The 16,135-nt window shown below is 40.7% G+C and overlaps 1 long non-coding RNA gene and 1 pseudogene across 1 annotated transcript in view, besides 1 other annotated feature; one reads left to right on the top strand and one right to left on the bottom strand.

Annotated features, from left to right (window-relative positions):
• The window catches only part of LOC100506851 (uncharacterized), an 84,650-nt gene extending 76,607 nt beyond the window's left edge, over positions 1-8,043 (bottom strand). Inside the window, exons 1-2 of the long non-coding RNA XR_001744215.3 lie at positions 7,868-8,043; positions 6,479-6,658 (exon numbers count right to left, since the gene is read on the bottom strand). This is a non-coding gene — a long non-coding RNA (uncharacterized LOC100506851). The remainder of the gene's footprint in view (positions 1-6,478; positions 6,659-7,867) is intronic.
• Positions 6,240-6,941, top strand: LOC100418713 (stomatin pseudogene; annotated as a pseudogene).
• Positions 8,225-8,823: an enhancer, noted in NCBI's record as "H3K27ac-H3K4me1 hESC enhancer chr6:80113984-80114582 (GRCh37/hg19 assembly coordinates)". NCBI's record gives its function as "activates a minimal SCP1, AML or CMV promoter by ChIP-STARR-seq in naive H9 embryonic stem cells {active_cell/tissue: H9 hESC(naive)}" and the evidence as "EXISTENCE:reporter gene assay evidence [ECO:0000049][PMID:30033119]".

The following is a 16,135-nucleotide window of genomic DNA, read 5'->3' as shown; positions in this document are numbered from 1 at the left end:
AGCCACAGGACAGCCAAATTTCTGGGGAAAATCATCTTCCCACCCCATCCCCTATTTAGCATCCCATCCATCCCATTGAGCCGCCTCCATCACTCAATAAAACCCCCACATTCACCATCCTTCAAGTCCATGTGGGACCTTGTTCTTCCTGGACACTGGACAAGAACCCGGATACCAAGTGGGTACTGAACTGGTTATCACTTAAGTCCTCTGTGGATGGCAGAGCTAAAGGAGCACTGTAACATGCCCACTGGGGCTTCGGGAGTTGCAGGCACCCATCCCTAGATGCTACCGTGGAACCGGAGCCAAAAAGCACTTGCCCCGGCTCCTGCACCTGCCCATCTGAGTGCTCCCCCTCCTGTAAGGGGTTTGAGCATGCACGGTGGTGGCCGAACAGAAAAGCCACATCCCTGTTGCACGTCCCGTGAAGGAGGTCAGGGAACTCTCCCATTTCATATGTATATATATACAGACATGTATATATGTACGTATATATTCATTTAACAATTCCAATAATTCACCTATTGTTTTAATAATGAGTAAACACTACTGTGGAGTTTATACCTGGAATAGGTTTAGTAAAATGTGGAGGAGTCCACTCTCCCTTGGCTAATCTCAGTTCCTAATTACTTCTCATATTGTGAGCATCTCTCTGTGTACACAGTGACGTGGGTGTTTAAAGAGAAGTATTTTTTCATATAACATGACCCTTAAACATCAGCCAAATTTCCCTCATATTCTCTACTGCAGAATTGGTAACTTATTATAATGCTGGAATTAAAACTTGTTGTGTTCTGTAGCCTGGCCTCTAAGTAAGAGGGTTTTTTTGCCTAACGTTTTGAGATTAGAGCCTAATTCTGATTAAAAAAAATATTTCTTCACTGAATATCTGTTAGTTGAATTCTCACAAAAACCTCGTGAGGATTAAGAGGTCTGTTAACAGCTAATAACCATGTCACTCCATCTGTGGCAGTAGCCTTCCCCTTTCTTCAGGGAACGGCATCATCTGGATTCCAGCCTCCTGGTTAAGGTAAGGACCGGTCACTATGGGTTCCTGCTCTCTGGCCATAAGGAAGGTCGTGTGACTCCAGATGACCCAGTGAGACTGACCTTTTAACCTGGTCCCTGTGACTGGTCCAGGGAAACACATGTGCGACTAGGTCCCTCAGTGTCCTCTCCTAGAGATTTTCTGATTGAATCGACAGGAAAGAGTTTTTCTTACATCTCTGATGAGGTTCTGTGAATATGTTATCTTCAAGCGTCCGCATGCCATGTCCCCACCTGATAAAGATATCTGCATACATAAAAACAACACTCAGAGAGGAACAGAGATGTGAGAGGGTCCTGTCAGCATCCTGTGTGCAGTCAGCCTAGAGGCCAGATCCTGCTCTGCTCCTGCCCAAGGCTTATCTTGTTTTGTTTTTCATTCTTTATTTCAGAATCCTAATTATTGCCCCTTTGGCCTTAAGCTAGTTTCCTCCATGGATGATTCAGTATTGCCTGTGCTTCACTGGAGAGAAGAGCTTAGTCCACAGGTAATATAACTTGCTCCATTCCCAAAGCTAGTAAATGACAGAACCAGTCACCTACTAGAACGAAACCCATGTGAGGCACAACATCAAAGTTTACAAGGCTGAGATTCCCTGGTTATTAGTGGTTTTGTAGATTGGGACATATTTTATTTATTTATTTTAAGGGAGAGAAACTCCTTTTCCATTTAGGCACTGGCAGAAAGTCATCTTAGAGGAGATCTTTTTTCTGGGAAAAGTCAGTAAAGTGAGGCCCCTTCTGTTATGTAAATGACAACAATAAACACTATTTCTGGGGGAACATAAGACAGAAACTTTGGGACTCCATGAGGCTTGATTTTGTAGACTCTTGTGAACCCATTTACAAAAGCCTAATGCTTTCTGAAAAGAAAAAAATCGAGACCCAACACTTGCTCCCAGAGATTCAAATTTAGGAAAACTTGTTGGGGTAGATTGGAATGACCCTGACCAAAATCCTAGTCAGGAAAGAACAACAGGGCCTTTATGTTGCTGAACAACAAGCAATTTCAGCTCTTCCAGATGTGACTAATTAGATGTATTCACTCAGCAGTTTTTCACTGAGATGAGGGGACAACTCAGGACCAGCTCTAAGCAGTGCAGATCACCACCTAAGGGGAGGGTCATTTGAATTGACTGACATGCCAGCCTCCCTTAGGATCTTAAATGCCACCCACTGAAATCATTTTTCCTGGGATCTTCCATGTTTAGGGGGCTGCCCAAACCCCCGGGTCAGTATACGGAACCTAATGACAACAATAGACAACAGTTAGTGAGTCCTTCCATGTGTCAGGCCCAATGATAAGAGCTTAACATTAATGTTCACTACAACCATATCTATGGTATTATCCCTTTCACCCCCATCATTCTCACTCCCTTAACTGTGCTGCATGTTTTTCATAGCATGTACTCTTGCTAAAATTATATATTTATTTGTTTTATTTTTTGTTACCTGACTCAAACTAAAATGTGAGCTCTATGAAGAAAGAACTCTGTGTTGTTAACCCTCATAGGCAGGTTGCTGTCAAACAGTGGATTTTCAATCAAAATTTATTGAATGAATGATGGTATTATGTGATTTTATTATAAAAACCTTATGGGACAAGTTTTTGATGGGTTAAGTAAATTGTACAAGATAACATTGCTGGCAAGTTACAGAATCCAGACTCGAATTCAAGTGTGTATGACTCCAAAGCCTTTGCTTTGAGCCACCAAGTTATTCTGGCTCCCAATATATAGAAGTGGTGGCTGGGGTACCCAGAGCATTTAGTAAGTAATGGAAGGAAACAATGAGAGAAGAAGATTAACTTTGCTCATGTTGGGGAGATAATATATATTCTCCTCATGTCTCATAAATTTGTACTTGGTACAGACCCCTGTAACAAAAGACAGATTAACAAGAGAAAAATAAGCAAACTTAATAATTCATGAAGTGCACATCACATGAGAGAAATCCCAGTGAATAGTAACTCAAAGCAGTGGCTTGGAACTCTGGCTTGTATAGCATCTTCAACAAAGAATGATAAAATTAGAGAGAAATGCCAGAATGAAGGAAAGCAGTTTGGGGCTTCCGAAGGCCAGACAATGTGGAAGATAAATACATGAGAAGAAACTAATGAAGTAACATTTGATTTCAGATTCCCCTGGCACTGTATCTAGGCTAAGAGTTGTCTCCTATAAGGGAGAATATCTATACTGTTTTTAGGCAGAAAAGGGGAAGATAGAGAGAGCTCTTCATTTGCTGCTTCATAGTTACCTTTAGTTCAAAAATAATTTTTATATCCATGAGGCATATTTGGGGGTGATATATTCTGGTTTCCTTCACCTACTTCACACCTCTGCTGAGAGACTGGTCTTGCCACCAATATTTACTAAAGCATAGGCTTAAAGGTTAAACCCGAGTTCCAGGAGGCCGAGGCAGGCGGATCACAAGGTCAGGAGATGGAGAGCATCCTGGCTAACACGGTGTAACCCTGTCTCTACTAAAAATACCAAAAATTAGCCGGGCATGGTGGTGGCGGGCGCCTGTAGTCCCAGCTACTCGGGAGGCCAAGGCAGGAGAATGGTATGAACCCGGGAGGCGGAGCTTGCAGTGCACCGAGATCGTGCCACTGCACTCCAGCCTGGGCAACAGAGCGAAACTCCATCTCAAAAGAAAAAAAAATCCGAGTTCCAGGCCCGAGTCTCCCTACCTAGGGGAACTTAAGACCACCTAACGTCTCAGAATCTCTTTCTTCATCTGCTATCTCCTAAGGGTTGTAACAAGATTTAAACATAATAATGATGGCAATGAATTTAGAACAGTTGCTGACTCAATAAATTCCAAATAAATAGTAGCAGTGATCCCAAGGACAGAGATTGGTTGTCACACAAGGAAATGGCCCAGCTCTCTTCTGCCTCCAGCCTGCACTTCGCTGGGTTCCAGCCAGTACTGTTGACGGTCATTTGCTAACTGATCAGCTACACCATCCACTTATATTAGATCCTTTTTAAAAATTCTTCCTGTTTCCTGACGATGCCCCTAGATATGCAATAAGATCCCAAATGTGAATACTTGAAAGGGCCTTGCTTGCAATGAATATAATTCTGTCACAACTGCCCAGTGGAAGAACTATTCCTTCTATGAAGGCGTGCCAGCCCTCTGCTCTGCAAACCGAGAAAAGTTTTAATATGTACTTTCAAGTGTCTATGGAAAACATCTGGGGCTTGAACTATTTGGAGTTATTTACTCAGGGCTATCACAAGGAGCCAGGAGAAGTACACAGTCTTCTGACAATTAGTTGAGGAGGCGTTTACTGCTGTTCTTACATACTGTATAACAGAAGAGGTCACCATTCACGTGTCTATTTCCCTTGCTATGTATCTTCTCTAATTTTCAATCATGAGGACCTCTTCTTGATGTCAAGAAATATTGCATACTACAATCCCTCCCCAAAAGCAGTGGTCACTTGACGGAGGAAATACATTATGAAAAACTGCTACAGTGAATTAACTAAGAATGGAAATTTTATGAATCACATTAACATCTATGTATATTTGGAAAATGGTAGTGCATTTCTGCGTGTAACATTTTAGCTATCCAGTAAACAGCCATCCAGGAAGCAAAGAATCCCTTGCATTAACATCCTGGCGCCACAGAGACCTACATCCTGCAGGCTGGGAACCAATGTCTAAAGGTATTTAACTGAGAGTTTGGAGAAGAAAGTACCACAAAGTTAAGTTGAACATTATCTTTCTGAATGGTCTATAATTCTACTAATGACTGCTGAGTTTAAAAATTAAAATAATGATAGGCTGACTGTAAATAGATTTTTGTTTTTGAAACAGGAAAACATGAATTTCTAGTTGCTTTGGAGTCTAATATTTGACTACGGTAGACTGATCTAAGTCTTGGCAGGATACGAGACATAATTTGAAACCATGAAGGTATAAGCCCAAGGGAACAATGTGTATAATGCTGGAATTATGTTCAAACTGATCAGGGGGATGGCCAGGGGGATTTCTTTATTAAAATTATTGAACAGGAAAGTGCCTTCAACCACAATATAAAAGGCAATTTGCAATTACTGTTCTACTTTTCCTCGACTTTCCATTTTATTTTAGTACACAAGCAGTTTGTGGTAAAATCAGCTTTTGCATCTCTTGGACTTATATTTTACAGAAAAAGATTTACTTTAGTTTTCATTTTAATGCTACCATGTAACAAATTGCTCTAAACTTTAAAAAAAATCTGCTTTCTGGTCTGTTTACTTCCTTTTTGTCATTAAATGATTAGGAAGATAACATTGTTGAGATCCTGAAGATTCTGAGGATGAAACATATATTTATGCTACATTAGGGAAGTGAAGCATTTCTTGAATCAGTATTTTAAAAGTGGAGTCAAATAAAATTTATTTATTTTAATCTCTGAGTTGATTTAGCTCTGGGCTATCCAAAAATGAATTTCTCAATATGAGAAATAGTCAGCTGTTTAAAATAAAATTATGACATTGAAAATTACATACTACAAATCCTAGAATATAGTGGCGCTCAAAAAAGATTATTTTTCATTGGCTTGGGGATAAAAATGCTACTATTTGTTCATTTAGTATTTTTTTCTTTACTTCAAGACTTTTGTTTCAGAATTAAAAGTTAAGTTCTAGAAAAAATGTTTCACGAATGAACAAGAAGCAAAACAGTGTATGAAAGTACTTTGTAAATTAAAAGGTAATATTAAGCCCATACCCATCAATATTTTAATGAAAGCCTATATCACAAATAGGTGTTGACATTCATTTATTCCTTCATTTATCCATTCAACAAGCATTTGTTGAATAATAGGAATTCTGCTGTGTGCTTAGGATTCAGTTCTACACAAGGTAATAGAGAAGCCATGCATTTTAGGCTCTGGAGCCTGCATTTGAATCCTAGCTTTGTCCCTTACTTATTGTGTGACTTTGGGCAAATTAAGTGACCTTTCCATGCCTTGATTTTGCCTTCAGTTAAATGAAGATATTAATGACATTTAACTCATAGAGATGTCCTGGAATGGTGGTTTATAACCTACCTTGGCCGTGTGTTAGAATTACCCAGAGAGCTTTTTAAAAATACCAATATATTCCTCAGCCACTACAGTTCTGGTGAAGTGATAACAGAGACTTGGACTCTGACAGCCAACCGATAGTGTCACCTTGAGGACACCTAGTTATGGTTTTTCCTGACTCCCTCAAGAGGAGCCCACTATAGGCTTGCAGGTGGAGTTTTGACCAATCATAACTTTCTCCATATTATCCTAAAAGAATATGAAAGGGCTGTAATCTTTAGATCAGGCCACATCATATAATGAGGAGCCAAAGAACCTGGTTTGTTTGTTATCCTGCCATGAACGATAGCTTGATCCAAGTAGACGTGAGAACTATTTCATTAGATATTCCACCAGAGGAGAAACTTACCAAGGATTCAGTGACAATTCGTGTGGACAATTTATGTCATCAAATTCAGAATGCCACCATGGCAGATATCACCAATGCCGATTCAAAACCCATATTTAGGCACCAGGAACTTTCTCAGGTCCACTCTGACACAGAAATTGCATACAACATGTCAGGTTCTCTGGACAATGGTACTGATGTCTGAAGGATAGAAGTAGAGTGTGAGGCAATTAGGTATGCAAACTCACCTGTGCAACCCCCTTGATTCACAGATTCAGAAGCAAAAGCATCCCATGAAGTCTAAGCCAAGCTCATTGCAGCTGGGGGAGAAAATGGCTCCATCCTGAGCTCTGAATGAGGCCTCAGTGGTGAGTAACTGATTCCCTAACACCCTTAAATCTGGAATGACCAGGCCCGAAATGACCAGAGTTGCTGAGAATTCTGTGAATGTCTTCCTCTGCTCATGGATGTATGATGAGGCATTGAATTTGTTTCCTATGGTTGCTGAAACAAATTACCACAAATCTAGTGGCTTAAAACAAAACAAATCTATTATTTTATACTTCTAGAAGTCAGAATTTAGAAAATGGGTCTTATGGGGCTAAAATCAAAGTATTGACATGGCCACATTCCTTTCAGAAGCTCTAGGGGAAAACCCACTTCTTTGCCTTTTATAGCTTTACAGGCTGCCCACATTCCTTGGCTTGTGGCTCCTTTACATCTTCCAAGAAGCAATCACATCGTAACCCATGCTTCCGTGGTGATGTATCTTTTGATGACTCTCCTGCCTCCCTCTATCCCTTATAAGAGCTCCTGTAATTGCATTGGGACCACCTGAGTAATCCAGAATAATCTCCCCATTACAAATTCTAAATCATATCTGCAAAGTCCCTTTTGCCACATAGGGTAACACATTTACAAGCTCTAGGGATTAGGATGTGAACACAGGCATCATGGGACAAAACATGGAATTATAGAGGTCAAGGCAGAGTTAACCTTCAATGCTCAGGGAAGAGTAGGGCAGGGTGACTTGAACTTCTCCCTCCCCCTCCTTTGCCAGAAGTTGAGTTTCGTATATCTAGAATGCATAGCAGATAAAAGAATTGTTAGTCTGTAAATGCCAAGAGACATACAGCTTGATGATTTATAGAAAAAATCTCTTAGCTTTTATAATATTTCATAGTTCTTCGTTTTTATTGTTGAGAAGCAGGTTAAATTCCTCTTTCTTTTGGCTCCTATAGAGGCACACTTCACCCTAGAAACAAAGTGCAGTGTGTAGGTTATAACCAACACAGGCCTTCTCCTATCACTCTGCTTACTCCTGCAGAAACTTATTGAAGAAAGGGTTCCCCAAACCTGTTTGGTCTGAAAAACAGTTGAACCCAAACTGTATTTGGAAATAATCCTTACCTGAGCATAGGCATGTCCTTGGCTGTGCCTGCCAGTGATGCAGGGTATTTTCTCAACCCCTTCATAGGACTTGTGGCAAGGGTGCCTCATTTACTCAGCCTGCTCTGCTCAACCCCTCTCGGGAGGGAGTGTGCAAGCAAGCGAGTGTGGAATCAGAGTTAGCAAGTGCAAGAGCTGGTCAGCGGCCCAGCGGGAGCAAACTCCATTCACTTGGGTTCACCAGGCTCCACCTGTTGCGAGAGGGAGCGTGCGAGCAAACAAGTGCAGGAACCAGCTGGCTGCTTCAGTGCTAGCAGGAGCAAACTCCACTGGCAGGAGCAAACTCCGTGCAGGCCCTTGTGACCCCAAGGCCCCAGAGGGTGTGTCACAGTGCTTTCTTAGCTCCGCCACCTGCAGACAGCAGTGTGTTATCAGCTCAGTGGGCCTTTTGCTTTGTCACATGCGGTGGCTGCCCTCTGCCAGCAAGGGCAAAGGGCCAGTGTGACAGCCTTTTTGGGTACTCATGTGGTGCATCCCAAATTCTTGTCCAGTGCCCAAGAGGAATGAGGTCACGTGGACAAACTGAAGAACGGTGAATGTGGAGAATTTTATTGAGTGATGAAAGTGGCTCTCAGCAGAGAGGGAAGCTGGGAAGGGGATGGGAAGGGCAGGTCCCTCTCCCCTGAAGCCAAGCTTCCTCTCTGCCTCTCTCTTCCAAAGTCAAGTTGCCTCAACCCGCCACTGTCTCTGAAGTTAAGTCGCCCTACCTGGATGTCCAGCCACTTCTTCCCTCTGCTGGCTGAGTCTGGGATATTTATAGGCACAGGATGGGAGGCAGGGCAGGCCATAGGTAGTTTTGGAAAAGGCAACATTTGATTGATAAAAAGACATTATTCAGGAAGAAACAATCAGGAGAGAGCAGGCACACACAGGGATGGAAATTCTTCCTTTGGGCCATGGTGGCTTCAGCTTTTCAACTTGAAGGTGGAGGTTTGCCAGGGACCTGCCCTGTCTGCCCAGAGTTCTCTGCCTCGGTCACAATTACCAGCACCAGGGAAGTAGGCAAAACAAATGGCAAAGCTTTTCCAATTGTTCCATGACTTTTAAATCTGCTGTTTTAGATATTCTTAATACAAAAGTACTGATTTGTTTTAATTGTTTTGAGCCTTCCTTATGAGTGAATGATTATACTGTGGATTGTCTTTTGAACCAGGTAAATACTGCCCCAAAATAGCCTAGTTTCAAATATCAGGCTTTAGATCATTTTGTTTTGCTTTTTAAATGAATCTTTCTCTGCTGAGCCATAGAGGTCAGGATAGAATAGCTATTTGAACCAGCTATTCTGAATAGCTATTTGAATAGCTTCAGAACTAATGTGCTTTTTCTAACATCTTTAGGGAAGCAGTGTATTTTACTCCCTGCATGTGGTATGCTATTGTGCACTGTGAAGGCCTGGATTACAATTCCTGGTTCTCACAGTGCACAATAATATTTGCACACCGGAATTCATCATATGTGGGGCACAAAACAGCCAAAGAACTTGGCAGATACCATCCAACTTGTGAAATAGAAAGAAAAATCAATGTAAAACACTCCAGACTATTTGTTTTCTCCCATCCCCCAACATATGATTGATCCTGATCCTGATTGATTCTTACTCTATAACATTGGGCAGCACCTTCCAGATCTCAACAGCCTGTGAATCTGTGTACATGACCCTCCACCTCCTGGGTCTAGGAAACCAACCTTGACATTCATATTATTTCTTCTTTGAGATTCTGAGTTGACCTTGAAAAGTCCAGAACTTGGGCAGTGCTCTCCCAGAGCCACCCTGGGCATCTGTTCTTTGATAGACAAGCCTTGTCAGTCCAATCTGCAGAGGAAGGCTTTCAATCCATCCCTGAGTTTGAACCACACTCTGGCTTCCCACACCCAGGATCTTGGCCAAGATTATTTGAAGACATCTAGAGTTTTGTTTTGTTTTGTTTTTTTTACTTGGAACTCAAGTTGCATGTTTTTCTTATTGAAGTTTAATGTTTGGTTTTATCTGCATTCTCAGAAACAACTTCATCCTCTTCTGGCTGAAAAATCCCTGATTTGATTTAAAATAATGTGTGCATTAAAACATAATAATAATGGAAGCCAATGGAACAAAAAATGTGTTTGTCCTATCTAACCATTTTTCTTAGAAACCTAGCTGGGACTATGATTTTCTTAGCAAATTCCTAAGCTCAGAGAAGTTAAGCGTGTGCATGACAGCACAAAGCCAGGGGCCTAGCCCAGCAAGATAGAGGGGGTGTTTTATGGGATAGTATTTCAATGAATGACTGAAGCCTGGATATCTGGCTCCATGGGGTGCAGTTACCACACAAGACAGTGTGTCTGAGTGGAAGAAGGAAGGCTGGATCCAGGCCTCTGTGTGACGCTCAATGTGGTGTTATTCAGCCGCTACTAAGGAGTACCTACCTGCCTCCTGGGTGACAGAACCTCCAGGGCTTTGCCAATCACAGCTGCAGAAAGGGCAGTGCTTGGAGAGTTGACAGCATTTTAAAAAATTGTAATAGATGCCTATATCTAATACCAAGCATTAAATAAGACAGGAATATCACCCAATGTGTTTACAAACCTTGTTTTTTGAAAGATTTACAAAGTATATTTTTTAGTCATAACTTTTAAAAAGGTTTTGAAGGTAACAAGACCTGCTTAGCTAAAAATCCCAGGGCAAAAGTGCATTGCTGGCCAGCTGGTAGTGGTTGAAGAAAGACCAGAGTATAAGTAGGTGTAGCAAATTAACAGCCCAGGTGATGTAATAAAACTTAAAGGACTGCTATTAAAGCTACTCAACTTCAACTTGAACTTGTCTTTAATTCTTGACATAACTTTATGAAATGCTTACATTTTTGCTCTAATTATTCCTTCTTTCCCTTTCTTCCTCTTCTCCCAATGAAGTAATCAGTTCGATTGTTTGACCAAAATTTATATTTTGAAGTATTGTTTGTAAATAATGAATTAAAAGTTACCCATAAAATCCAGACAATGCAGTGACCTACCCTTTAAAGAAATCACTGCATATGATTTTGAAACAAAATGCAGGTTCTTCAGGGCAACTGACACCATCATTAAACGATATCGTTGTAACAAGTAAATAAAATGCTATCTTGTTAAAGAAAATTCATCTGTGTTGATATAATTTTCCCAATTATAAAGGCTCAAGTTGATATTAGGGTAGAAAATTGGAACAAAAGAAAAACATTTCTGTAATGTTTGCATTCTGACCACCTGGAAGAAAACTAGATTCAAAACAATGATTTCCAGGGAAATGAAATTAATTGAAAGTTCTCAGGAAAAACTATTTAATAGTTGTTCTGTGAGAAAGCCATTATTAAATCTTTAAATAAAATGATATTTTTATTTGAAGGTCATTATAAAAAACTAAAAAAAAAAAAGGATTTTACCAAAGAGAAAGGTAAAAATATTGATAAGGTTCGGGCGTGGTGGCTCACGCCTGTAATCCCAGCACTTTTGGAGGCTGAGGTGGGCAAATCACTTGAGGTCAGGAGTTCGAGACCAGCCTGGCCAACATGGCAAAACCCAGTCTCTACTAAAAATACAGAAAGAATTAGCCAGGTGTCGTGGCGCCACCTGTAATCCCAGCTACTCTGGAGGCTGAGGCACAAAAATCACTTGAACCCAGGAAGCAGAGGTTGCAGTGAGCTGAGATTGCGCCACTGCACTCCAGCCTGGGCGACAGAGTCTCAAAAAAATTTGTTTGTTAAGATAGTAATAAGAAATAATCACATATCAGATGATGGAATTCTTTTTCTGGTTTTCTGGCTTCACATTCATTAACTTCTCTGTTCAGCTGCTGTTTTATGCCACTCTCTTCTCAACTTGATTGTTTTTTCATTTAGAATGAATGACACTGTCTGATTATTTAGCACCAAAAGGCATTTTTATCTATTCCTCTGTAGATAAAAAGTATTCTAAGTGCAGACCACTAAAAGTTTGTGTGCATACATATATTGGGGTTATGCATTCAGGTAATTTTGTTAAAATTGTTTCTCTGGATTCAGAGTTGTGTCGGGAAAGGCAAAGAAAAATCACATAAGCATTTAAATAATTCTCAAGGATTTCAAAAGAGAAATCATGAGGTTCCCTAACTGCTATGATGCAATTCTGTGAGCATGAAAAATGTCAGGAAAATAGTGGGTAGATGTGGTACCATACGAAGAGTACTACACTAAATAGTGTAAATATGGTTTACACTATTATAAAGTTCTTCAAAAAACAATCATGCTCCAATTTCCTTATTTTCTTCAAAAAGTTTTTTTCTCTATTATCATCAATGTATAAAAATTCACATTTCCATTTTATAAGGTTTGATAAGTTGCCTTGTGTCAAACATATTTTTCTGGCTTCCAGATAACCAGTGCAAGGCCAGCATGCCTTTTACATGGCCTCAGCCACAGGTGATCACACTTTATGAGGTCAGACCTTGGGCCTCAGACTGCACAGTGCCAAGTGGTTATAATAGGTCCTCAACCCAAATTGTGCTCCCTGTCCCATACTACAACTTCCTTCAAAATTCTTCCATCACCCTTTCACCTTCTCACAAAGTCAGGGATTTTATTGGAAACCCATACTTCAAGCAAACCATGCAAAGGCAGAATCATCAGTGGTTCTGAAAGTAGTGGTAGGGAAAACAGCTGGGACCCTTTAATGGCATAAAAAGCCCTCCCTCTCAGGTGCTGGAGCCTTCTTCAAGCTAGGTCATTGTGAATGGAGAGCTCACTGCCTATCTGGGTCTTGTCGCCTGGAATTAAGATGTAATTACTATCCTGGCAGACTACCCCTTACCAAGGATAAACAGGTGGGTGCAGTTGGCAGTAATTACCCCTTTTTCTGACTCACAAATAACCTGGCACCTTCCCCACCATGGTTAGCAAATCCCAGAAGCCCTAATCATCAAGTAATTGTTTGATTGGGACTGGATTAGTCCTCAGAGCTAGAAGTGCCTGATAAGAAAAGGGATATACAACTCGGAACTAATTATTTTCCTGTTATAGTTGGCATTTCAGCAGAAAGAAACCCAGGGTTTCATTAGAATGTTAATGAAGAGACTTTTTCACCTGAGTCTTAATGAGACTAACAGGTTCTACTCTCCCACTATGTCTTTCTTTTGCCACACAGGTCTTACCTAGAAGTTGGTGGGTATTCACTGTATGGTGAGGACAATACAGGTTCCAAAAAGAAAGCCTGAGTGTTAAACCTGCTAGACTAGGAAAACAAGCAATTATCTGAAAAATTCTGACCCTTAATCTTTTGTTTCCTCAAATAACTCAGGTAAAAAATGGGGCTTCTCCTAAATTGTCTTAAAATTGCCTCAATTTCCTTCTTTGCTAGTGGAAATTTCCTTTCATTTTGCTTCTTCAGCTGAAAGGCGTTTCAAACAGCAACGAGGCTAGACATTGTCCTTGCATCAATAGGGTGGGCGTGGGTTTTCTGACAGATTAGTGTGATTGCATGTGTTTCTCTTCTCACTGATCTTTGCTCTCAAACAGCCCCAGAATGCTGATGCTGGTACTGTAGCCTTATCTCAGCTTGGCCCTAGACAAAACTGTTATGGAAGAAGAGAGCCTGGTGAGAAGAGAACAGAATCTGTGGTCAGATAGACCTAGGTTCCTATCCTGGCTCTTATACCAGTTTCCTGAGTGGCCTGTAAATTCATTCATCCCTAATTCAGTTGCTGGTCTGAGAGGACAAGCTAGATACGGTTATGGTGACTGTCTGATGAAATAGCATAGATGTAAGCAGCCAAGAGTATCTAGGAAATGCAAACAATTAATACCTGATTTCCCTTCTTTACCACTTGGGAAGGATGGCCAAACATCCTTGTTCTCCTGTTGTGTTGGAGTAATCATTAACAGCGCCCCAAATGTCCCCGTTAGGATGATAAATTCTGTGGTTATGCTACACCCAGGTAAAGTTGGGTTTTGATCATGTTCTTTTTGTTTGTTTGTTTTGTTATTTTATTTTATTTTATTTTATTATTATTATACTTTAAGTTTTAGGGTACATGTGCACAATATGCAGGTTTGTTACATATGTATACATGTGCCATGTTGGTGTGCTGCACCCATTAACTCATCATTTAGCATTAGGTATATCTCCTAATGTTATCCCTCCCCCCTCCCCCCACCCCACAACAGTCCCCGGAGTGTGATGTTCCCCTTCCTGTGTCCATGTGTTCTTATTGTTCAGTTCCCACCTATGAGTGAGAACATGCGGTGTTTGGTTTTTTGTCCTTGCAATAGTTTGCTGAGAATGATGGTTTCCAGTTTCATCCATGTTCTTGCAAAGGACATGAACTCATCCTTTTTTATGGCTGCATAGTATTCCATGGTGTATATGTGCCACATTTTCTTATGTTCTAACCCTCTTTGTGATAACACCCTCTACCTTTGTCAGAGAACTTTAGTGGGAAGGAATGAAACTCCTCCATCCAGCTTAAGCAACCAATGGAATTCATTGGAAAGGTGCAGAAGTGTTCACAAAACAGTCAGGCTTCATGAGGGGCCAGAACTCAGAAACTAAAGTTATGTTTTTATCTCCCCAGAACTGCACGTTCTCCTGATTGCTTCTCTCTGCACATCTGGTTTTATCTTTTCAAAAACTACTGACTTTCACTGCTTTAGCATGCATGTGGCCACCATGATCTCCAGCTTTATACCATTCACAAGTCCATCAGACACTGACTAACGTTAGTTTGTAACTCCAACTTTCATACTCCTAAATTAAAGAATGCCTGGGTTTTTCATGTACACAAATGCATTCCAAACACACTGCCTTGAGTGTGGTATCCACCTATGGTTAAGTCACCTGTGACTGGAGAGGAGATGAGGTCTCACGTGGTTTGCTACCCTTTTCATAGATCTCTGAGCATTTTCTCTGAAAAGGGAGCATGAGAAAGTTCTTGAAGGTTTGCAGGGTGAGTAAATGGATAATGAAGAAAAAGATGGCCTTTTAGTAACCCTACCCCACACATACAATATTCTGATGTCCCACTGAAGCACTTTCCCACTGTTGCTCAACAAGTATGACTTGTATACACCCAGAATTCAAAGTTCTGCTTCTGGGGTCTCATAACTTCAAGTATTTTCTCTGTGCTGGGTGATGTCTAAGGGGTTATCTATCCTCAACAGCTCACATTTTGCAGTGATTGTAAATGTTCCCTCACCACTAATAGTCAACATGTGTTCATTTTCCCAGAGGCTTCCAGGGGACAGGGTGCTGGAAACTAGCACTTCTCAAATTTTTCTAGCAAAGTGGCCCTTATAGTAGAAAGAATTCCTATGCTTAGGGTTCTGAGATTGTAGTGAAAGGTAAATCTGAAATTTCTCGCATTTTAGCTTTTAAACTTAGGTCAATTTGCATCTTATAAAACATTTGCATTTGTTTTGATATAACTTCTCTCAAATTTTGGAGTGAAGCCACTGTTCTCAAACAACGTACCATGATTCTCCTGTAGTATCCCAGGCATACTGCCACGTACCTACTGGGCTGTGCAAGCCCTGGTTTGAGACACATGGATCTAACCCAATGAAAGGGAAATAACAATACTGGAAATTTAGGCATCAGAATAAGTCAGTGGGGGATCCATTCTGGAGTTGATTATTATTATTATTATTATTTTTTGGCATCTCAGGTCACCTAACATTTGAACATCTGGTTATAGGGTTGGGTCTGAATGGCACTCATATTTTCTTCCACTTTCTAGAAATAGATGTGAATTCTAATCCTAGTTCTACCTGTGTTCTCCTAATCCTCCAATTAACTAGCCATGAGATATCGAGCAAGTTGCTGGAGTTCTCTTTACCTTAATTTTCTTATTTATATATTAGACAGGTTAGTAAAGAACTCCTGTGAGAATTGAGTAAGGTACCATATGGTGTCTAGCACATGTTTTTTCTCCTCTTATCTTGCATTCCTTTCTTCCATATGCACATAGATTGCTTTCTTCCCTCCTTTCCCAATAACTTACACCCTACTTTAGTCATGTAAGTGCACTCTTGTCTCTTCAGTTAAAGTCTCTACTCTGGGCCTCTGGAAAAAAGAGGGACAGGCAGGGCCTAAAGTCAGCCTGGATTCCTGCAGTCCTGAGAGTTGCTACTTGCTCCCTCTTTCCAAATGTAAATGAGATATTTCTTGTATAGTCATTGACACCTTCCTTTCTTCCCTCTTCTCCTTACACACACAGTACGAAACCCAGATATGAAAGGGATACCAAAG

Source organism: Homo sapiens, chromosome 6, assembly GCF_000001405.40.
Source record: "Homo sapiens chromosome 6, GRCh38.p14 Primary Assembly".
NCBI classification, from domain to species: Eukaryota; Metazoa; Chordata; class Mammalia; order Primates; family Hominidae; genus Homo; species Homo sapiens.
This window is presented reverse-complemented; position numbering and strand designations above follow the sequence as displayed.